The 26,186-nt window shown below is 33.0% G+C and overlaps 1 long non-coding RNA gene across 1 annotated transcript in view; it reads left to right on the top strand.

Annotated features, from left to right (window-relative positions):
• Positions 1-13,957, top strand: part of LOC105370232 (uncharacterized) — a 35,548-nt gene extending 21,591 nt beyond the window's left edge. Inside the window, exons 2-3 of the long non-coding RNA XR_942011.3 lie at positions 13,247-13,426; positions 13,519-13,957. This is a non-coding gene — a long non-coding RNA (uncharacterized LOC105370232). The remainder of the gene's footprint in view (positions 1-13,246; positions 13,427-13,518) is intronic.
• Positions 13,958-26,186: the final 12,229 nt, after the last annotated feature.

Raw genomic sequence — 26,186 nt, 5'->3', positions numbered from 1 at the left:
AACTAAATGAACCTATATCATTAAATAAATGGTCTTCATTGAAAGTCTGTCCTCAAAGAAACACTGAGCTTAGAGAGTTTTAAGGCATGTTGTAACAGACATTCAATAAAAAGATAAGTGGAATCTTATCCAATTCTCTCAGAAATGAGAGGAGGAAGCAGATTCTGGCTCATTTTATGAGGCCATTAAAACACTGATACCAAAAGCATACAAAGATTTATTTCTTGAAGTAACTGTGGATCAAGGGACAAAGATTTATTCTTGGAGTAAAAATGGTTTAGGAACAAAGGGCCAAGGCTTGAATCCAGAATCTATTACTTATTATATGACATCAAGCAGGTCATTTATATACTTCTGTTTCATCATTATAGTATTTCAGAGATGTTTAAATAAGTCAATATTTAATAAATTGATTCTGCAGTATAAATCATTATATGAACACAATATATTTAGTGTAATTTTTGGAAAATGATAAGAATAAGAGATTTTTCATGATAGGAACAATCCAATAGGTAAAGAATACAGGGACTTCCAAAGACCCAAAAGATAAAACATCCAAATGATCAAAAAATTCTATGAACAAAAGAAGCTTGAAATTTGTTTTGCCCAGGATCTTAGAAGATGCAAAAGCGATTTGAACCCCAGAGACCCATGGTGAGTACATTAAAATATGTTTCCCAATACTAAAGAAAAAAAAACTGAAAAAGATTTAAAGAAGACCAAAAATATTTTAGAATTTAGAAAACATGAATTATTTTATACAGGTCAATGAAAAGTAAGTATTGCTCCAAGTCCAGTTTTGGGCCATAGATAGAATTCAGGCAATGCCAAATTCTCTATGATTATTCCAGTGGACATAAAAGCCATTTCTGCAAATAATTATTAATTACTATGACTGAAACATACCATCTTGTAGAATAAATTGAAATATAATCAGTTTATTTTAGTGTAATGCTATAAATATTACAAACTAAGTGAAAATTATTTATAGGATTAGAGAAAAAAAGATGAGATCCTTATGAAAACCTTAGCAGAGTAAGGGATGAGCTGTTGCACTGATACACACAGAAGAAGAAATTGTCAAGTAACTGAGAGCACATTGTTCTGAGCTGCAGATTTCATAATGAAGAATACAGAAATCAAACTCAAGTCAATTTATTCATTGTATACATATTTTTATTTCTTTGAATAATTAGGCTACTATATACTATAAATCAGATATTCATAATGATTTTCACTTAGTTTTTTAAATGATGTCTTGAACATCTAGAGCAATTTTGCCTCACTTTTTTTTAAACAGAATTTTCTAGTAACTAGAGTATGTCAACAATATTTAGGGCATAATTAATGTTTTCTAGTTCATCCCAGGAGCTGAAATGCTCTAGCTTTAAAACTGCTGTAAAGAATATATAGAAGTCCAGCTTACTTCTCATCCAAAGCTTTTAATCCCACCCCATTATGGGAATCCTAACATTCTAAGACATCTTTGCTGTGTCCCGAAGTGAAGAGGAGATAACATCTAGCTTCAAGCTATGTTGACACATCTATGCAAGGCAGTTGCTGGCGAATGGGAAGAGTTGCTCTTAATGTGTCATGTGAATGAAATAGCTAAAGTGATCTGACTATCCACGGTTACACTTGGTGAAAAAACTTCCGGGTCCTTAAATTTAATACTCTTTCCGTTTTCTGTCACCTCAAAGACATAACATGGTATACATTTGAGATCTGGCAAACCTGTGACTCTTTACACCCTGACAACATTTGCACGACACATGATCCTCAGGAAAGTCAGAGCCTAGGTTTACAGCAGTAGAATATTTGGCTAATGGAAGATAAGTTTCCTGTAAACTATTAGGCTATCCCTGGAGATAGAGTAAAACATTTGCCTGCAGCTCTAGTGGATCTGTGAATGCTGAAGCAGAACTGTCATGGCAAAAAGCAAATCCCTCAGCATCAGTTAGTTCTGATAACTAGGCTTGAGTCAGAAGCATCAATTCCTGTCAGATCTTATTGAGCTCAAACATACAACTGCCTCTCAGGGTTGATGAGGAATCATCAATCACTTTTGTACCCCAAAGCAATGTTCCTCTTCCCCAAATAGGGATTTGTTTCTTTTCTACTACTTCTTTCATCCAGGAAAGGAAATACAGTTCTCAAGGATGTCTTTTGATCTACCCTATAGCATTTAGGGAGGAAATCTTCAGAGATCACTATGTGATTCTTTTTTTCCAGTCATGCTGTGATGTTATGGAATAAAAAGGAGAATGTGTGATAGAACAGGGTAAGCAATAACAGCAAAGCAAACACTTCTCTGGTATGTTCCTGAGCATTGACAGTCCAACATAGTCTAACATATCATGTTTAACCATAAAAACACAAATACCTTGAAAGTCTTTATGAAGCTAAAGAGGGAATGTGTTTTTAACTAATTCTTTGAATCTTGGCAGCATTACTTTCAGAAGTCAATGAAGGGAAGTTTCTGCTGTACTTCCATTTTTATCTTTAATGTTAGTAAAGAGTATTTTGTCATATTTGACATAGAATGATAGAATGGTTAATAAATAAAATAGATAACTCTTGTGATAATTGCCTTATTGCCTTGTAAAATAATGTTATTTTGAGACATTGAATCAGTACAAGTATACAGTAGGGGGCCTAACTTGAACCTAAAGTGTAAAATCAATCAGGTTTGAGCATGTATAATAAATAATTCTTTTATCGTTTTATTTTATTATATATTTAAACACGATGTATGAGAAATTTCAAAAACATACAAAAGTAAAGGCAATAGTATGATGAATCACCATAAAATTTCCCCAGCTTCAACAATTATCAACTCATGGTCAATATTGTTTCAACTAGGCCTCCATCTATTTAGTGTTCTCCCATAGATATTATGTTGATTTTCATCAAAGTGTTTGCTCAGAATTCTCGGGGGGAAGGAAAAATACAGAAAGGTAAGATTTGGTATTGGTTTCCTATTTTGCCCAAATATACCTGACCATATCTTACCTCCCAATCTCAAAATTGGTGTCTGAATTTTTATGGAGCCAGGGACTATAAACAAAAGGAATATTTATATGAGTTGCTCTAATATATAGAAGTATAAATACCATGATACTGTGCATATTTGTATCTTATAATAGCCTTATTGAGGTATTTCTTCATAAATAAAATTCATCTCTTGTAAGTGTAAAATTTAACGAGTAAATTTTAAGTAAATTTATAGAGTTGTACAACCACCAATACAATCTAATTTTATCATATTTCCATCACACTAAATATTATCTTGTGACCTTTTGCAGTTAATCTTGCTTGCACCCACAACCCAGAAAACCACTACTGTACTTGTCTGTATAGATTTGCCTTTTCTGCACATTTCATAAAAATGTAATGATATAATATGTGATCTTTTGCATTAGGATACTTTCGCTCAGCATAGTTTTTTAGATCCATCCATGTTACTGCATGTAACAGAAGTTTATTTTCTGTTATTGCTCAATAATATTCCATTGGATGGATATACTGTTTTTAAATTCAATCATCAATTAACTGACATATCAGTTATTTCCAGTTTTAAAATTATAAAGAATGCTGCTGTAAAAATCTGTGCATATGTCTTTGTGGGGGTGTATGTTTATGTTTTTCTTAAATTCCTAGGAGAGGAATTGCTGGGTCATATAGCAAGTTTATATTTACCAACTTAAGAAACTGCCAAACTATTTTCCAAGGTAAAATTAATATATTACATTTTTGCCAGCAATGAATAATTGGTTCAATTTCCCTCCATCCTTTCCAATATTTTGTAGTGTCTGTCCTTTTTAATAGCCAGTCCAGTGGGTGTACAGTGATAGCTCATTGAGGTTTGGAACCCCTTTTCTACGGTGACACCTCATTTCATGTGTCTATTTCCTATTCATATATGAACTTTATGATTTGCATAGAATGTCTATGCAAATATTTTGCCCATTTTAAAATTGAACTTCTTTTGATTTTATTCTAAGTATTCTATTGTTTTGTTGATATTGTGAATGTTGTGGTTTTACTAATTTTATTTGTGATAATAATTAATTTGGGGGCAATTTTGAAAAGGCAAATAAGGAGTAAAACTAGTATAGGAAGGCATTTACTACACTACTTCAGATAACGTGGGCTTTTTGGAAGATGCTGATAGAGCTCACCTTAGCACCAGAAGCAATACAATCATGACATAGTGTGCCCAGTGTTTCCTTGGCAGGGAATATCAAAGAAAGAATTATAGATATTAAAAAGATATAAGAGGATGTATGATTTTTATCCCCTTGGGTGTCTGAAAGAAGATATTTGAGCCAGGAACTCTGAGCTCCTAACTTATACAAAGAGAGAAAAGTCCTAGAATATATGTTTTCTACCTTTAATGTTATTCTTTTTGTTTCCAGGTCTTGAAAACTAATAGAAATAATTAAAATTCATATAACAATTAATATTTTAATTATATATAAGCAACAAATCATTAAATTTTTTAAGGAAGACTTCATAGTTAAAAAATTACATATAGTTTTTATGTTAACAGGCAAAATATTTTGGATCAGATCAATAAAGCATACCAAATAAAATTAGTTATTTGAATAAATTTAAAGAAAAACAGTAGAATTTCTGATTAAGGTAACATTAAGAATAGTTGCTTTGCTAGTGTACGTCGGGTTATAAATATAGGTCCCATCTCTCACAAGACCATTTAGTTGACTCAGGAAGAGAACTTTGATCTTTACTTAAGAGTTACATGATCAATAAAATCTATAGAGTTAAAGCACATAAAAAGAAAAATATGTCAGCAAGAAATACAGAATTGGACTCACACATTAATCTACTGAAGTTTGTTGAATGATCAATGAACATCAAGAAGGATGTTATGAAGGAAAAATAAACTGTTGATAAGTAATTAAATACTGGGCAGAGTAACTTCCCAAGAAAAACATCTCAGAGGCAATTATGTTCATTTTCTAAGTAAGGAAACAGGTTTAAAAATGAGATAAATAAATTTCTGAATATCCGTCATTTATTTAGTGGCAGAGTTTAAATTCAAGCCTATAACTGAGTTCAGGTCCTATATTCCTTTCAAGAAACAATAATTTCAGTAAATTGGATCTCAATAAATATGAAGTTATAGAATCATCAACTTTGCAGACCATTCAGCACATAATGGATTGCTTAACTAAGTAAATAGTTAACTAAACAGAGGACAGTCAATGGGTATACTGTGATGAGAAAAAAAAGGACATTACTTAGTATACTTCACAGGGAGACACATTTTAAAGAAATAAGTTTATAATTACTAGTACATATCAACTCTAATAATTGTTCCAAAGGAAAATAAGACTAGAAGAAGATTTGGTGTATATGAAAGGTAGTAGAAAACCTAATTTAAGAACTAAAGAATTTAACCTAATTTAAGAACTAAAGAAATTTAAGAACTAAAGGATATCAGTCGGTATTAAAAGTTTCAGGCAACAGAAGCTGACTCTGGATGATTAGAACAGAAGTGAACATTGTGGAAAGGAAATCTTTGTGCTTACAGAATCCTTTTGCAAGACTAGAGAACTGGCTTTAAAGATCCCAGTCAGATCAAGGCCCAAATGAGGTTGTGCAAGTGTTTCAGAGAAGAAGACTTTTTGCTCACCCTGTGTACCAGCTGCTGTAGACTCAGCAGTGATATTGGACCCCACATGGACACAGCACCAACTCACCTGGCATGCATGGCAATTGCATATCATGCTGCAGATGTTGTCATCAATATTTGGAATGATCCTACATGTTTTCTAACATTTTCTGTTAATATTCTCTATATACAATTGGCAGAGAAAATAGTTCACCTGCCTTTTGTTTTTTGATTTCAAGGAACCTTGGAACTTGGATACCTGGTATTTTCCCTCTATAGTACTGCTTTAATGGTGTTATGCATAATTTGATATTTACTGTTTTAATTATTCAATTCTAAGCATATTTTAATTTTGATTACCGTTTCTTCTTTGACTCATACGTTCTTGAGGATAACATATTCTATTTTTCAAATAGATGGAATTTCTCTTTGTTGTTATTCATTTATTTCTGCTTTCTAAATGACTTTTTTTGGTTGGATAAGTTCTGTAATCTCCAATATTTCTAAGTTTGTAACTTGTGCTATTAGCTCGTATGTAGTCAATTATTTTGTACATGTACTCCTTGTGAATAATAAAAATATATTCTACAAGCATGGAATACAAAGTTCTCTGTATGTCTCTTAGTATTCTTTAATGTCATCTTTCAAACCCTTTACAGTCAAACTACTATTACATCTCTTCACTTTTTACTAAAAAGAGAAATATGTTAAAATATTCCACAATTATGGAGCTATTCCACAACAATTATGGAGCTATTCATTTCTCTTTGGAGTTATATTAACTTTTTCCTCAAATATTTTCAAGTTAATTTATTTGGTACATTAAAAGTTAATTTACTTGGAATTGTTAACACTGTTCAAGTGAGTTGAAATTTCTATTCCTATGCATTACTGTTTACCTCTGCTAAAAATTTTATTATTTAAGATTTCATACATCAATATAGCTGTTATACCATGAATTTTAGTCATGGATGCATTGCCTCTCTGCTTCAAATGTATCTGTATTGCTGCTTTGTGAAAATAAATATATGGCCCTCATATATTTCTTTTCTGTTGGCACTATGTTAATCTTGGTAGGTGGAGTATCCTAACGAGACATTGTAGGAATAAACGGTTTACTCACTTGGCAGGCTTCCACAGAATGTGTTGATTTCTTCCCAACCCTGGCTCATGTATTGCACCTGGCCTCTCTAGTCCCCTCATCCTTCACAGTGGTCAGCAGTACTGAGTAGCCCATGTCTTCCTCCAGCATCTATCTTATTATCTTCTGTAGCAAAGACCCCGTGGTCCTTCCCTGGTACCCTAGAGAGTGGATTTTCAGCACATTTCATAGTGTAGCAACACAGTGATTTACTTCTCTACCATCCAGTCAGCTATGGCCATGCCTTCTTCAGCAGTATCTGAACCTCAGCCATGGGTTACAGAGACTCTTCCTTGAATGTTTTATCTCAATCCTACTGGTAGTGGATGTTCCATTTATCTTTGATTCTATATTCTTTAGCGTTCTTCTTATGTTCTAATCACTCATTAACCCAATGTTCCATTATACTTAATAATTTTGATACTAAGCTTCTCTTTTTCAAATTACTATGTAATTTTTTTCTCATGATTTGACCTAAACTGATATGCCATCTGTATTAGTCAGCTTGTAATGCCATAACAAAACACCTATAGACTAAGAGAGATGAATTTTCTTACAGTTCTAGAGACTGGAAGATCAGTTTTTGGATCAGTCTGACCTAAGTCTAGATGTGAAGTCGGGTCAGTTGACTAGCATGGCTGGGTTTTTTAGTTAGAGCTGAATTGCTGGCTTGTAGTTGGCTGCCTTCTCTCTGGGTCCTCACATGGTGGATAGATAGCCTTAGTTACTCTTCGTCTTCTTAAAAGGGATCCACGTTTTGTGACATTTAACCTTAATCACCTTCTTAAGAACCATAGCTCTAATATAGTCATATGGAGGCTTAGGGCTTCCACCTACAAATTTGCAGGTAGAGGGTGGGAACACACTTTGGCCTACTACACCAGTTCAGATTTTGATTTGCTTAGTATAACATTTAAAATAATTTTATTTTAGAATTTTCTATATCCATACATTTTAGAGAGCTATCAGCTGCAATAGATTTTTTTTCTTGTGTTTTGTTATTCTGGAATAGTGTATTTCTGAAATATTTTCTATGGGGATTCTTTTCAACCTAACTTTAAGATGCATTATTCCAGAACCTTTTTATTTGCCTTTGCCTGATACTTAGGTGCACTTCAACCTGGGTTCTCTTTTAACCAAACTGTAGAGTTGGGGTTTGGGACTATATTTATAGATTCAATTCACCTACATAAGTGTGTGGTTTATTTAGAACCAGGAGAGGATCAACAAGAGCTAAAGCATGACTCTCTCTATGGAACAAGATTTATTTTAGTTCAAGCAATTAGAGCGCCTTTTTCAGATCCCCTTCATGGATCTGAACTTAAATCTGGAGACTCTGATTTTAACAAAACCCGTCTGTTGTCTCCTCTGCTTTGTACATTAAAGTTCAGATTCTAAACCACCAGGGGGTGACAGGTAGTCTCAAAATGTAGTCAAGTTTTATTGTATTCAAATTATTTTAGATTTTCATTTTTCTTAAAAGTTGCAGGCTTTGGGACATCACCTTAATTTCGTATCCCATCATCCATGCATTTAAAATGTCTTTATTATTTTATACCGCATTTTAAATGTGCTCCTTCAAAAGGAATTTCTCTTAGTGCCTTGTCCACATGTTATTATTTTCTGCAGTTAATTTGTATTTTACTATTTACTTTACATCTCTGGCCTTTTGGTTTTAACCCATTTCATCTTGAATATTCTTGATGTCATACAAATATTTTAAAGTATAAACCGATTTTATATAAACCTAGTTTAATTTAGACCTAATATATTGCAGCAGATTTTTAAACCAATATAATTTTCTTTATAGTGCTAGCAGATTATAAATCACTTTAGGTACCAAATTATATAATGTTCATATTTGTAGCCTGGGGATTAGTACAGTATCTTAAATGTTTGTTGAACTAAATTAAATTTATGACAATATTTAATTGTTTTCCCCCAGGCTTCATTGTTTACAATCAAAACAAAGCAATGAATGTCTCATGATTTTGTGACTTTTTTTTTTTTTTGTAAAAGATGCCTCTCATTAAGTTGCTGAGGCTGGTCTCGAACTCCTGGGCTCAAGAGATCCTCCTTCTTCAGCCTCCCAAAGTGCTGAGACTACAGGTGTGACCCATCATGCTTGGGCCTGAACAACGACTTTTTAAAAGTGAAATTTAGGGATATATTTAAGCAAGTAGACTGAAGAAAGATTCTCTATATTCTTACATAGTCACTTTTCTTATGGTATTTTATGATATCTATCTTTGAATATGAAATCCTATGAAGCAAATTACTAATTTTTGAGATAGAATCAAAGAACATTAAAGCTGGAGTGTTTGTGAGATATCTAGCTCAACCCCGTCATTTTCCAGTTGAGCAATTAGAGACAAATACTTTGAATGTTTTCAGCTATACTGGGCTGATATCCTGAAACTCCCTCAAATAGGTATTTTTTTTCTTTTGTGTTTCAGTCTCATTCATGATGTTCTGCTAATTCTATTTCATTATATCTGTTATTTTATGCCTTACCAATCCTGTTACTATATACTGTCTAGCGCTACCGATATTCACTGTGATTGTCAGCCTATGGATATAATGGTGCTATAAAAAATGAAAACATCTTTGTTTTACAATGTTGGGTACTTAGTACTTATTCTTAGCTGGGAAGAAGTTGCTATCACATTTTCTTTCTACTAAACTGGTTTTTTATCTTCCTAGCTTAGTTCTTTTATTTATTTTTAATTTCCCTACTTCTCAGTTGCAACCCCTGACCTGGTCCGTATTATATTCTTGGACTCTGATTTATATTAAGCAGGTTATTGCAGCAATGGAATCTGCCTCTCATTTTATTTTGGCAAGGGATATCTTTATTCACTACAAACTCTTAATAGACTACAGGAGACTACTACCATGTGAATAAAATTAAATAAATCCAAAAACGAACTCGTTTTTCACCTCAACCCTTCCCGTTCCCAACTTTTGAATGTCTTCCTCTGACGAGAGTATAAATTTGCAATTTTTCATCAATGATATGATTCCCTTGATAGTCTCCATGTTTTCCTTCATGATTCATTATTCTATAATTATTAGTTGTCTATTATTAAAACCAGAACGTTGGTCCATTCCCTAGTCATAATTTGTCATCGTTACAGAGTAATTTTCTGGATAGACTAAAATCTGCCACTACAAGTATAATATTTTCTATCATTCATATTTCCAATTTATAAAATTTTCATTGCTATAGTGACAAAGCATAGTTCCATATCCTTTGTGGAACTTAAACTTTGTAGATCTTAAATATTATGTAACATCACTATCTATATATTTTATAGATGCAGAGAAGGCCCAAAAGAATTAAAGAGAAATTTTAGACACAAAACATCTAATCTAAGAAACAAAATTATTTATAATTAAGACATATAGTGGAAAGAGTATGAGATTCTTTTTCCAGAGGAACAGAAAACTAAATTTAAAGTCATATTCTTTATAAGTAAATATAAGATTTAGGCCAGTTGGAAAAAAATTAATAAATCTATATAGTAGTAGTTAATGTAAACCTAAATGCTCTATACCAATTTATGTGTTTTTGTTTCCTTTATTAGGAACTAGTTTGTGATAGAGAACTAGCCATTCAATAGACTATGTTTATAAAGAATGAAAACAATTGCTCTTCAGCAGGTGTTTTTTTAGTATGCACACTACCTAAATAAGTGCTTTTACACCTATTAAAATATTCATGAATTATTTTCACCTTCTGCACTTTAGGTTTCCAGAGAATTCATCTCCACATGGACACTATCTATCTACTGCCATCATTGCCTGTCTGAGCTTCAAGGCTTTCCCCTAAGATAAGCTCTTCAGGAATGACAGCTTGAATTTTATATTTAACTAAATGGTTCTTATTTTGGAATCATACTGTTTATACCAAATTTGTATGACAATATAGCCATTTTTACTCTGTATCTGTGGTTATTAGCATTTCAGAAAAAATCTAGCAACAAACCTTAACTTCTCACTTTCCCCTTGGACACTCTTGTCCAACTAGTTAAATTTTAGAAATAAGAGTATATAAAATAGGTCTCCAATCAAATAAAGAACTTTACTGGATGGGTCTTCCAATAGGAATATGGCAGCATCTACCTTTCTCTAGGTCATACAGAGCAACAAGGAGAAGAAAAGAAAACAACTACATGAACACATTTGAAACAAAATGAGGACACAGTCAAAATTTGAAAACACCATACTTCTTTAAGTGCTTCTACATACGTCTGATTTTTTTTTTTTTTTTAAAGATGAAGCTGGTTAAAATGGGGAGAAAATAAAAATGCTGGAGCTACAAGTAGTAAAAAGTTTGAATCAAGCACTTCTCCCTAGAATGAGAGGAAGGACATTCAGTATAAAGTTTATCTAAGGATGCCTAAGAGAAAACAATACCTGATACATCCATATCAATCAATATTCATTCAGGAGACAGAGTAATTTGAACACAGAAAGTTTCATATACAAATTTATTGGCTGTATCAGAGGTGTAACTTTAAAGGTAGAAATAGAGCTCTAAAAAATATCTCAGGGCTGAGGAAGACTTCCCAAGGAAGGAGGCCCCCTCCCCAAGCTACTATTCAATCTTGTTGGAGAAAGTGTAGGTACAACCCACTAAATGCTGGAGAAGTTGTCTGAATTGCTTACGGCAGAGCTTGTTAATGGTAACTGGGTACCATAATGCACTTAATAAATATGAAGAGTGAGATGAAGAAAAGGTGAAAAAAAGATAAGCTTGCTGTAACTTCAGGTTGAATGGTTACTATGTCAAAGTATTATTCCTTAAAATCTGTATGAACATAACTTAGTGGTTAAAGTTAAATATTAGTATAAATATTTATATTAGGTAAAAGTAGAGGTTAGAGAGGGAGAAGAAGCATGGAGAAGAAAATACAAATGAATTATTATTTATATATCCTAGGACATCTAAAAATATTATTTATTGGAAGTGTTGACCATGCAAAAAATCTGTCTTAAGTAATGCAAGACAACATAATACAAAGAAGACAATCCACATGGAGGTATATATATACACACATATATGTGTGTGTGTGCATGTAATGTACATGCAAATATTTTATAATATAATTAAACAAAGACCAAACAAATTTCTTTACTACTAGGTTTAAGTGGATGCAGAGTATCATTATTAAAGAGGTGGCAGAGCTGTATCTTCAAAAGATGGTTCCATTTTTCTATCTGACCATCAGCTTCTGAGTAATGAATTAGATGATGAGATCTATGGATTCCATAATTTATCCCCATTGCAATACTTCCTGTGCCATAAAGTGAGCCCCTTGTTAGAATGTGACATTATAGGAGACCCATGTTAGTAGATCTCTTACCATTTTCATTCTTTTCTCTATCATTTTTCATACAAGAGAAAGCATTTCTAACTCATTTAAAATGCCAATCACTTTTGCCAAGAGTCAACCTAGCAGTATCTTTGGGTTTCCTCCCAGAAAGTTAAGTTCTTTAACTCAGCAAAATGTTTTCTAATCAACAACTTTCTATTCCATTTCACTTGAATTGGCTACCTCTGTGTCAAAGCTCCTGCTACTACATGTTTCTTATGACTACATCTCTTTGAGTGTATAGTTATGATCTTTCTTTACAAAGACTAGCACTTCCCAGCTGTGTTATTTTGTGACTTTACCCAGTTATTGATCTGGTGGCCAGGAGGGCAGGTGGGAATAGATCTTGAGAAGGTCGCAGACTTTTCCTGCAGTGCAGATGTTTTGAACCACCATTGAGCAAAGAGGAAGTACTATCTTTTATTATTCTGTTTTGAGCTACTTCTCTCAGCCCAGAGGCTCCAGGGAAACCTAAAAATTCACAGTTTTCAAGAATATCTACCCATATTTTCTTACCTTAAGTTTTAGGGCCCTGCATCTTTTCAATTAAGGCTTAGTTTTGCTGTAGAAGACCTGTCAAGATTGAGAATTCAACTTGTTCTGGAGACTTATTACTCTTACAATTAAGTCCTGGGCTTGATTCTCTGGCTGCAGGAAATTTCTGTTACTTATATATTGCCAAGGAGGCTCTCTGGCTATCACACTTTACCTTACATTTGTGAGAAATAATGCTGAGCCTTTCATTGTCTGTTGCTGGTGCATTGAGAATCCGGAAAGAGATATCTGATACCATGACCTTTATAATGACTGTAGTTACTCAAAGGCCTAATATCTTTCAATAGTTAGCACATTCCTCTTTACTGTGATTCCCTTCCCACTTTACCACCCATGAAATATGTATATATTGCTTTGCAATCTTATGTCAGGAGCTATCAATGTTGTATTTGTAGCCATGGTGAGGTTTTCCCTGCCAGCTGGTTGGTGAATGATCCAACTCAAAATCCCACTTTAGAGTCTGCTTCCTAAAGCAACCTATAGTATGAATTGTTATAGTTTGGTTTGACTAGGAAATAACCTATTATATTTTAGATTTCGGCACAGGTTATATATCTGTGACTAATTTTAAGAACGACGACTGAGAGAAATACAGAAAGCAGGATTAAACATAGAAGCTGAGCTGCAGTGATGTTGCAGCAGAGGCGTCAGCCAATCCATTTGTAAGCACTGAGCCTTGGTGGCCTTTCAGAGTTTTCCACTTCAGAAAAGAGGGTAAGACTTTTGTACATCCCTGTCAACTAGTCATTCATATGCAGGCTGCTGCCAAGGAGGGGTAAACTTGGATTTGAATCTTTCTTCTACAGAGAGAAAATACTGGAGAGGGATTCAGCTGTATCCCATTTAACCAATATTCCTGACATCTGACAAAATGATTGCCTCACTCCTGAAGAAGTTTCTGGATGGTGAATCACATCATTACTATGATTCTGACTATATTTTCTACCACTCTGTACAAATGGATTTTAAAATTAGGAGGACTGGACAATTTTCTAAGACTATATACTTTCCTACGTTCGACCCCAAGAGATATCAGTTTAAACACAATGATTTTTTTAAATTATAGGAAATTATCTTATCAGGCCCAATTGTTTTCAAAGCAAACAATCTTTAAAGAACTGATAATTCCAATGTGATTTAGAGTAGTACAATATTACATTCAGACAGTCATTCAAGTAAAAATTAATTTTAATAAGAAATGAGCCCAATATATATAAAAATAAATAAGACAAAATTGTCTGCCAATATGAAATTTTTATTTTAGCAGGGGAAATAAGTAATACACATTAACATACTACTACACTTGTAGGTAACGATAGGTGTAATGAAGAAATTTTGGGGGCTTGCTGGCACTTCAAAGATTTGGGCTCCTCTTACACATTTGAGAGCCACTGAAAAATACCCAGAGTACTTGCCCAGCCACACTCTTCATGACTCATAACCAGGAGTTTGAAACCAGCCTCAGAAACATAGTAAAACCCTGTCTCTACAAAAATTTAAAACTTAAAAATTAGCTGGGCATGGTGGTGCATGCCTATAGTCTTAGCTGCTCAGGAGGTTGAGGTGGGAGGATCGCTTTAGCCCATGAATTCAAGGCTACAGTGAGATATGATTACGCCACTGTACTACAACCTGGATGACAGAGTGAGACCCTATTTCTATAAAATAAATAAAAATTAAATTTACTTTTTAAACTGCATTAACTTTTCAAAAAGAGAAATTTTGAAAGAGGTTGTAGTGTAGAAACCTATGCTCATTCTTGCAGATCTATAAGAGAACAGCAGGCGAGGTACTAAGAGTCAGTGAGGATAGATAATTCCAACAAGAAATATTGCTGTACACTACTGCAGAGGAAGATGTCTGTTCAAAGAGGGGACATGAGGGCAAAGAGTGTTTTGTTATTTTTAAGATGTAAAATATGCAACCTGTTTTGATGCTGATGGCAATGATGCTCCAGTGCAGAAATGATGAGGAAGGAATGAGTCATTACCTAAGAAAAAGCCCTAAGTAGAAAATAAAAATGGGATTCATGGCAAAGTAATTGCTATGATCTTTAAAACAGGAGCAGTTTCTTCACTGTAACAGGAAGAAAGGCAGAAATGTGGGTAAACGGATAAGCATGTTTGGTAGATTTGGTTGGAAGAAGGCTATTCGCTTTCGGAAGTGAATAGTTTTCCATTGGGAGTGAGAGGGCTATGAGAGAGATTTAAAGGTTTAAAAGACGGAAGACAGTATTAAATAGCAATCTTGGAATTTTGTTGGGAACCTGTGGAAGAAGAGAAGACAAAACTGAACAGCCACTTGGAACCCAGTTGCGAATTTAGAATCACCAAGTTTCAGTCAACAAGATTAAGTTTTGACGCAGATACATCCACTGAGTAGGAGGAGAGGTGGGTTTAATGAGGATTGAACAATGTCCAGGTGAGTTCACAGTGGAAGGAGAGTCTAGTGCTTTAAGACTTATGAAAATAAGAAATTATTGAAATAGTTTATGAAGCATAATTCATAAACAGAGAGAAGTAAATAGAAGGGACAATTGACGGTGGAATGGTGAGGGGTCCAAAATTTGGAGGAACACATATGGATAAAAATACTCAAACTTTAAGTTCCATTGGGAATGATTTGGTACACTGTAAGGTAGTAAAGAGACAGTAATGTTTTAAATTAACATATTTTAGAGGTAGCACAACTATTCGTTGAATATTTAAAAACTGGAGTCTATTAAGGAATAGGCACAGACAAAGATATTTTTAAGAAGGCAAGCTGGAAACAGAGAAATAAGCTAGACTCTGTTTAGCTATGCCCTGGCACCATGCCAACCAAATTGTGGGTTTATATTACTAATAGCAAGATACACAGAAATGAGTATGTCTTCTGGTTTTATCAATGATGTTTTTCTTAAAAACAAACAAATAAACAAAACCCCACAAGAGTGAGATTTTGAGATTTTAAAAAGAAAAAGTACAGAAAACACCTACCTAATATCTTAAGCCTTATATTCCAGGAAAAAAAAATAGCTTTAGAATAGTCCTCATAATATTGTTTATAGGGTTAAGTTCATTCTGCTGTTGGAATATAAAACACGTCAGGTCATACGACGATCTCCTAGGTTTTTTCAGAGTCTCCAACGGCAAACATAATTTTCTTTTCAGGGTAGTTCAAATACGACAATCATTAACTTTGTTTGTGCATCCAGCACATCTTATTAATGTGACAGGATTAATATATGATGCTGGGATTTATGCACTCACTGGATACAGAAGGCTCAAATACAGGGATTGCTTATCTTAGTCTTTGGCAAAGTTACAACAGGTGTATTTAATTAAAGAAGTTTAGAAATCAAATGACTTATCTCTTAACATATATTTGTATTGTTAGTATTTGAGCAAAATGAGACCTATTCTGGATACAATACTGAGTTAAATTTTACAAAAGACTTTAAATAATTTATTTGAGTATTACAAAAGAAATCAAGAATATTATTGGTATTATTTTATATTTGCTAATGAGAAATGAATCAATTAATTTTATTTTTAAAATCATTTTGGTAGTAGCTGTGAGAACCTCTGTAAGAGACATGGCTTTCTTCCAAAGATTGTAAACTAGTTTGAAGGAGAAAATAAAAACATAAAATAATTAGACAGCAGGTAAATACCACTGGGAGAAGACTATGTGCGATCTGAGTGCAGAAACATGAAAATAAATAGTATAGGGAGTAGAATAAGGTAAGTTTTCATGGAATACAAAGTATTCATGGAGGATGAAAAATTTGAACCAAATCTGGAGAAAAGTTTATAAATTTTAAAGACAAAAGCACAAATAACCTCATCATCAAATTGTAGCATCAAAAGAAAGTAATGGAAAATAGGAGAAAAGCAGGTCAGTGCAGAGACTGAGTTTTATGGGTGAAAAATATCTAAAACAAAAAACAATTACTCTATGGTTTTACTTTTATTTTTCCTACTGGTTAACTTTTAAAGTTTATTTTTATATAAACAAATTGTAAAAAAAAAACAAGAATTTCTTCTATTATCTCAGGTAATATAAGATAATATTTGCAAATCATGTTAAGCATTTAAGCCCTCAGTGATGTTAACTCATTGACATAAAACCCATATTTCTGTATCCTGTATTTGTACTCATGGCTCTTGTTATTCTGTACTATCAGAGTCACATTAGAAACTGGAAAATACTTCAAAATAAGGATTCACTGCTTTAAGGAAATGAAATTAGTGATAAAATGATAGAAACAATAGAAATTCACATATGTGATGAGTTTGTTAAACTACAGTCATTTTTATTCCTTTTATTTTTATCTCACAGTACAAAAAAATGGTAAATCAAATCCATGCCAACAAAAGCATTTAATTTTAGCAAGTAATTAAAAAAATTCCCTAGCTAGTAAAAATGCTCCTTTGGGGAAGTGACTTTCCAAACACTTTCCAAACTACAAGAAGAAGTAGTACTGCAGAGAGGCCATAGAGATTTTGTTTCTAGTTGTAAAATAAACAGATCCTTACAGAATGGATATGTTTTTGCTCACTACGGTGCTTATAATGAGATTGAATTCAACTTCTTGTGTACTAATTGTATTAAACTGTGTCATAAAAGTGATGGAATAGGAGTTATTTGGGGATTAGGAAAAGCAATCAAATGTTTGAGAGAATGATATAAAATTAATATGTGCTTTTTATTAAGTCCTATATGTACATTTTTCTACAAATCATGAACTCTGAAGAAAATGAAATAGCAAATGAAGCACCTTTTAAATGGAAGTGCAGATGAAGTCAATCTGGACTTATAAGAACTTATATTTATTTTGATTTTTGTGTGGTTTTATTTTGTTTTGTTTTTGTTCCCTGAATTTTTATTTGGTTGGGTCTTCATTTTCAATATCATGCAAGAAATGCTCAGATAAAAAATGTAAGCATAATAATCTTATTCCATGAAATCTAGTACCCATAAAAAGTGACATACAACAGTGAATTAATGGCATTAGTATACACTTATAAAGAAAATCATGTGAACAGTTTGCGTTATTAGAAAATCCATTTTACAAACGAATTCCACGTGTTTTTTGTATCCAAATACAATTGACTAGATAAAATCCTAGAATTCTATGAAAAGGCTGTGAGATTTGGTTTAATAGGAAATACCCACTTTTTAAACTCTTATATTTAATATAAATTTGATAGTAAATTGAATATCTATGATATGAAAAGGATTATGTCTTACTTTGTATTTTGAATAGCTGTTTAAATAATTATTGCTTAATAGCAAGTTAGGAATACATAAGAGAAAACATAATGCTGAGATGTCAAGATAATCACACTTGTCCTGTCAGGCTACCATTTCCCACAACAATTATTCATTTAGTTAAATGTATTAAATGCAGGTAAATGAAACTACCAATTACTCAAGTTCTACTATCAGAAAAAAACTGTAGACTCTGTTTAATAATATTTCCAGAAGCCATAGAGCATAATATAAAATCACACGAGTATATAGATAACATATTTATAGTTTTTTAAAAATTTCCTTACATTAAAGGAGTAAATATATAAGTTAGCAGAGACAATATTTTACAAAAATGCATAGCATGCATACAGGCTCACGCCTGTAATCCCAACACTTTGGGAGGCTGAGGTGGGCAAATCACCTGAGATCAGGAGTTCGAGACCAGCCCGGCCAATACGGCGAAACCCCGTCTCTACTAAAAATACAAAAATTAGGCGGGTGTGGTGGCGCCTGCCTAGAGAGGAGAATCGCTTGAACCCAGGAGGTGGAGGTTGCAGTGAGCCGAGACCGCACAACCGCACTCCAGCCCAGGCAACAGAGCAAGACTCTGTTTCAAAAAAGAAAGTTTATTATTCTGAAACAGTCAAATTCTTTGCATATAAAAATGTACAATAATTTTATATTTGCACATATTGCAGTTGCTTCTATGCTTCCTTTTAAATGGGAACGCCTGGCCGGGCGCGGTGGCTCACGCCTGTAATCCCAGCACTTTGGGAGGCCGAGGCGGGCGGATCACGAGGTCAGGAGATCGAGACCATCCTGGCTAAAACGGTGAAACCCCGTCTCTACTAAAAATACAAAAAATTAGCCGGGCGTAGTGGCGGGCGCCTGTAGTCCCAGCTACTTGGGAGGCTGAGGCAGGAGAATGGCGTGAACCCGGGAGGCGGAGCTTGCAGTGAGCCGAGATCCCGCCACTGCACTCCAGCCTGGGCGACAGAGCGAGACTCCGTCTCAAAAAAAAATAAAAATAAAAAAAATAAAAAATAAATGGGAACGCCTAATGTATTTATTTCACTCTAACCTTTTATATTCTAAGTATGTTTTAATTTTTCATCTATTTGTGCAATATTCTTTATGTATTAACAAAAATGTGACACACACAGAAAAGTTCTCTTTTAATGGTTTTATAAATACTTGATATTTCTGACACAAATATTAAAAATTTCATATGAATTTTTGTAAGTGGCATTTTATCATTTGAACACTGGATATATTAAAATGTACCTGATTCACATTTCTAATCAATACATCATCAGTAAAAATGGTAAAGGATCATACAAAATATGAAGGAATTAGTTTAGCTTTCCATTTTAATTAGCCACAACTATCTTATTAAATATTAGCTGTGTATTTAAATCTTGGTAACCTAGATTCAGAACTACTAAGATTAGGGCATAATTAGCTATTCAAATCAATTATGTCATTCAATTTTATTAATTCTGTTGCTAAATATATCACATAATTAATCCTAATATTATTCATTATAACTCATAATTAGCAGTCTAAAAAGTCTATAGATGGAAATAAAAATAGTTCTGAAAGATATTGCACCAGTATTTTTGCTATCACGTTTGCATTGATTGCCTACTCTTACACTGAATAATAACGGAGAGGTAATGGAAGTAAATTCAACTTAAGCTTTGTACATTAGACATTACCAGTTTCTAGAGTATTTTCAGTTGTTTGAAAAACTGTGTCCTGTTTAGCATAGGCATTTAATTAAGCACTATTTTAAAGAACAACATGCCATTCGGATGACACTTCTGTCAGCATGAAGGATGACAGTATTCTTGAAATAAAATATCTCAAAACAAGCAGATATTTCAATAAAATGTAAGCAATATAATCAAACTTAAGGTAGGGAAAGCATAAATAAATCATGGTATTAGTTTTATTTCATAAAATGCAAACAATTTAGAGTATTTATTTTATTACTTATTAAAACTTCGTTGAACGCTAAACTCAGCTGGTGAAAGGATATAAAATTTTAATTACATAGGAGAAAAAAGTTCGAGAGATTTATTGTATAACATGGGACTATAGATTATAACAATGCATTGTATTTTTGAAAGTTGCTAAGAGGGGGGATTTTAAGTGCTCTCCTTACACAAATAAATGATGTGTATGTGAGATAATGCATTGTTTGTGCATTTGTATCCTCAGGAGATTCTCTAGGCTGCTATCTGGTCCTATAGCTTGCTTCTGTAATTTGTTCTTCTAATATTGGCAGCTGCCTGTGTAATAAAAGTGTCCTTCAGGATGAGCTGTCCCTCGACTGAATCAAGGGATAAAGAGATGTGTTTTATTAGTGCCTCTCTCAGCCTTTCCATAAAGATGGTGGGAGTCTTGTCTGGTCTTTGATCTATCATGGACAATTTAGAGTAATTGAGAGGTTTGGCCCTGGTCTTCCATAGGCCTTCTAATATGCACCCTATAAAGTTCTTCCTTTTTAATTTATGTCCTGAGTTTTTGGGGTTCCAGTCAGGGTTGTCTGCTGGAACTGCTTCTCTTCCTAGTGGGAATGGAGTTTCCACCTCTTCCTCACCTTCCCTATCTCCTCTTTTTCTCCTTGGTCTACTATAGGAAGCATGTTGCTCATCTCTGCATTTTTCTGCTGCCTGCAGAACTGCCTGCTTTTCAGCCACAGTGAAGGTCTGACTTAGCAGCAATATAACGTCCCTCCATGTGAGATCAAACACCTGAGTTAAGTTTTGGAAAATTTAAATGTACCTATAAATTAAGGTCGTCAGAAAATTGGCCTAAGTCTCCCTTTATTTGCTTAAGTTCCTGTAATGAGAAGGGAACTTGAAACCTCATGGCACCATTCCCATCAGGTGTTTCCTGCAGAGGTAAGAGTGAAGGGAGAACTTTACTCTTTGTCAAAGAATAAAATTTGCTGCTTGAGCAAAATGCCTGAGCTGATAATCCAGGAAAACCAAGACAGCTGGAGTGCATGAGACAGAATACCAAAGAAAAGAAAATTGCATAGAGAGAACGCTCCAAAGATCTACCAAGTGTTTCCTTATATTCAACACAGTAGTAGTCAATGCTTGTATAAGAGAAAAGTAATCAAGGCCTAGGAAGAACCACCAGATAAGATTAAAGAGAATTGTTGACAGTGCGCACTCAGGGCCTCATGGAATACCTTTTTCCACCAGCCAGACTGTGTCACTCAATGGTACATTGTTAAGAATGCTAGAATGGGCCGGGCGCGGCGGCTCATGCCTGTAATCCCAGCACTTTGGGAGGCCGAGGAGGGTGGATCGCGAGGTCAGGAGACCGAGACCATCCTGGCTAACACGGTAAAACTCCATCCCTACTAAATATACAAAAAATTAGCCAGGTGTGGTGGCAGGTGCCTGTAGTCCCAGCTACTAGGGAGGCTGAGGCAGGAGAATGGTATCAACCTGCGAGGCGGAGCTTGCAGTGAGCAGAGATCGCGCCACTGCACTCCAGCCTAGGTGACAGAGAGACACTCCGTCTGAAAAAAAAAAAAAAAAAGAAAGAAAGAAAAGTATGCTTAGAATGGCCCTGTTCCAGCAGTAGGATTAACTAGACTTAGAATAAACATTGCTCAAATTTTCCCTGACAAATCTTAAAAGCAACACCTAAGGAGATCAAAGTGTTCCCAAGTAACTTAAGTTTATTCTAGAGCAAAGCTCTAGAAAATACAAAAACAATCTAGCACGCAAGTCAAAATTCATAACAGTAGTATGAATAGAAACACCAAATACAAGCCATGCAAAAGAGCAGGAAAATTCAACCTATTTTACAAAATGTAATATTCATTTCTAATTAAGACATCATCAATGTAGCAATAAAAGGAAAATTTCTCAACTTGACAAAGGGATCTATAAATATCCTACAATTATTATACTTAAGGATGAATGACTGGATACTATCTTAGAGAGATTCTAAGCAAGATAGAATGTCTACTCTCAAAACTTTATTCAACATTGTGTTGGAGGTTCTAGTCATTGTACTATGGCAAGAAAAACAAATAAATAAATAAAGATTCTAAATTAAAATTAGAATTGTCTTTTTTATACGACATGATCATCCATTAGAAAATTTAAGGAAATCTGGTAAATCAGACAAACAAAAACAAACTAATTCTTACAAGAAGTGAGTTTAAGAATAGTGAAAAATGAGATATATGAGACTAATATTTCAAAAAATCAAAAGATCAATATACAAAAATGGTTTTTCTGTTGAGCCGCCATGAAAAAATAAAACTCAAGTGAAATAATACTCTAAATCCAATTTAAAAACATAAAATTTGTTGGAATAAACCTGACAAAAGATGTGCAAAATCTTTACACTGAAACCTTCAAAACTGAGCTGATGGAAATTGAAGAGGACTTAAGTAAATTTAGAAATCTGCCATGATTATGAGTCATAATATTCAATAATATTAAGACGTCAATTTTCTTGTAAATTGACTTGTGCATTCAACATAATCCCAATCAAAATCTCACAAAGCTTTTCTTATATAAATTGAGAAACTGATTCTAAAATTAACATAGTAATCCAAAAAACTCTGTATAACCAAAACAAGTTTGAAAAAAAGATGAAAGACTAACATTACCTAACTATAAGACTTTGAAATCTATATCAATCAAGACAATGCCATTTCATAAAGATAAACTTGTAGATCAATGAAATGGTTTAGAGTGTCCAGAAGGAGACACTGGCATTCATACACAACTGAATTTCACAATGGCAATAAGGCAATACGAAGTAGAAAGTGTATTATTTTCAACAATGTGCTAAAACAATTGCATATACATATGAATAAAACAACTGATCCATATCTTACAATTTATATAAAAATAAAATCAAAATGGATCAGAGATCTAAATGAAAAACAAAATGATTCAAAACTTATAGAATAAACTATGGAGGAAATCTTTATGACTTTGGGTTGGGTAAAGATTTCCAAAGTAAAACATTGAGAGCAGTATCCATAAAGGAAAAATGATAAAAATGATGACTTGTTTTTTAAAATGTCTGCATTTGTAAAAGATAATGCTAAAAGAATAGAAAGACAAGCCATACACTAGGTTAAAATATTTTCTAATTATATCATAGAAATACTTCAATCCATAATATTAAAAAATTACTCTCAAAACTCAAGAATGAGAAAACAAATATTCCAATGGAAAAATTAACAAAAGATTTGAAAAGATATTTCAGCATAGAAGGTGTAGCACAGCCAATAGGTGCATGAACAGATGCTCAACAATGTCTACACATTAGCCCAATGCAAATTAAATCCCCAAGTAGATAACCAATACTACTTGACTAGCTACAATTTTAAAAGATAGATTTTTCCAGTCATTCGTGTGGATATAGATAAACTGAAATTCTTATAAACCACTAACGGAAGTGTAAAAATTTACACAACCTTGGAAAAAAGACTGTCAATTTGTATAGAGTTAAACATATACCTCCCATATGATCCAGCCATCCTACTCCTTGATATTTACCTCAAAAAATGTAAGCCCTTACAAATAATTGCATAATTGTACACAAAAATTTAACAATATAACCTGAAATTATATTTATAAAATATGTTTCACATTATATAATTTATATTAATATAATATAAATTATATCAATTTTATTATATTAATATCATTGTATTATATTAATATATTAATATTATAATATTATATAATTTATATTAATTTATAATATATTATATTATAAATATATTCATTTATATTAACATTCTCTTTGTTAACAAATAAATTCTTTGCACCTCAGGATCCTTTGCACCTCAGGATTCTTTGCACCTCAGGCGTTATTTAATAACGCCTATAACATTATGACTCTCATTGTCAAGGGAAGAATAAGACATTAAAGCAATAAGACATTAATTTGTTTACTCAAGGATACTCAGTTTATAGATTAGGTACTATCATTCTTCTTTCTCATTGTTATTTATGCGAAAAGCTTAATAGTCTTCCTATTATACCATCAAGGACGCTTGCTCGTAATAAAAACTGAAGATATTTGAGCCTTTGAGCATAGCTAAGATGTCAGGGGTGAAGGACTTTTTGTTGCTGGGGAGTAAGAAGTAAAAGTTGGCATTTTATTTCATCTGGGTCATGCATTCATCTTTTGTAAAAGTGTGTGATGTGATGGCAATAAGGATATAAGGAGAGTAAATTGACACTGAGAAAATTCACAATATGTGAAGAAGGCCTTTTAAATGGTGTAACATAATTTATATATCTCAAAGTTAAGAGAGTATAAGATGTTATAAATAGCAAAAACTGACACCGTGGCATAAGTGGGGCATAATTATCATTAGTGAGGACACAATCCTTGATTTAAATAAATTGTTAGATTAGACAGGATGTTTAATTGCACTGGACACAGAAAATAATTCAAGGCAGATAAAAATATAGGAAATTAATGAGTATCCAGGCAGCACCAAGACAGAATGTAACCAAGGTACTTCTCACAGTTACCTTTGGCTCAAAGTTTTATCAGTACATTAATAAGAAACAGAAAAATGTTTAAAATAGATATAGTAAGAGATTGCCATTTTAGTGCATGAGTATGTGCATACTTATACAAGAAAGTGACTCTACTCATCATAAGACATAAGAATTTTTGAACAATCTTAAAGACTGGAAAAAAATGTCATTTTAAAGTTGCAGGTAGTTTCTGCCTTCGCAGAAGTAAAGCTTCCAGTTTATCTCTGTAAAAAAAAAACAACATATTATTAAGAAAATCAAAAGATATAACAAAAGAATTAAAAATATACTATGAGATGTACTGACAGAGGTAAGATATTGAAGAAACATAATCAAACTACCCGGTAAAGCCTAGAAGATTTCAGTCAAGTATACATTTACCTATGTTGACTAAAATATGATGAATAGTTAATATTATAAGATGAATTCTGTTTTTTTATAATTCTAGAAATTCATGTTATTTATGTATTTTAAATCTCATTAATTTGTAGACAAAACTTAGATCAATTTGACTCTAAATCACAATTTTGGTCCAACTTGCTGATTGCCAACTTCGTAATAGAGCAAGAGTGACACCCTTTATAAAGCCACTCCTGTTATGGGTGCAGCAAACTACAACAAATTATTATGAAAAAAACTAAGATATATACACAGGCTGATATTTTAAATCTTATTTTGTAAGTTACTACAGGCACAATAATAAGTGCATTCGAGTTTTTATTGCTTGTTGCCTATCTAGTTTTGAGCTTGTTGCCCATCTAGTTTGGGTGAGCTTGTGGCCTATCTATTGGGTGGGTGGGTGGATGGATAAATGGATGGATGGATGGATGGATGGATGGATGGATGGATGGATGGATGGATGGATGCATGGATGGATGGATGGATGGGTTTTTATTGCTGGTTGCCCATCTACTTTCGGGCCTGAATTTGGAATTGGAAAACCTAGGTCAAAATGAAAACATCCTATATTATCTGAGTTTATTTATCTGTAATAATACTTCAACCTTAGTGGTCTTACAATGAAAGTAGTAAATAATAAAACTTTGCAGTTTAACACATCATTAGTTTTTGATTGATCATTTCAGACTTGGTATATGTTATAGGAATGATTGACCCTAAATCGACAGTTTTAAAGAAGAACTGAGGCTGACACAAGGTCACAAAACTAAAAATGACTCTCTCTATTCTATGATGGTGATATATCTATTGTCTTTAATAAAGATTTTAAGTATTTTAGAAATCTTTTAAATTTAAGTTATTATTTTAACTCTCTTAAATAATATGTTAACTACATTAAATAATATGTTTAATTATGTTAAAATTATTTGTTCACAATATGGAAGTTATCTTTATTTAATACTTATATTTTTATTTAATACTCAAATGACATATTAAAAATAACATTTAATTATAGGTAGTATGATAGTTTCTTTGGTTCTGTCCTGCCTAATAAATTTCTAAATAATAAAATTTTTAACAGATGAGAAATGTAATTTCTGCATGACACAGACATGTTTGTTGCTTTTGTAATATACTTTTCTTTTCTTCAATATGAATCAAACGGCTAAACTTCTGCTGGTATTTTTTGCACTACAATTTAGGGAGTCCTACCAGAATTAACAATCCACCCATCCAAGTCTTTCTTTTTTTTAATTTAAATAAAGTTTGAATACATTTTTTTCCATGTG

The sequence above is a fragment of the Homo sapiens genome, chromosome 13 (assembly GCF_000001405.40).
Source record: "Homo sapiens chromosome 13, GRCh38.p14 Primary Assembly".
Lineage (NCBI taxonomy): Eukaryota > Metazoa > Chordata > Mammalia > Primates > Hominidae > Homo > Homo sapiens.
The sequence above is the reverse complement of the archived record's forward strand: the minus strand, read 5'-3'. Positions and strand labels throughout refer to the sequence as shown.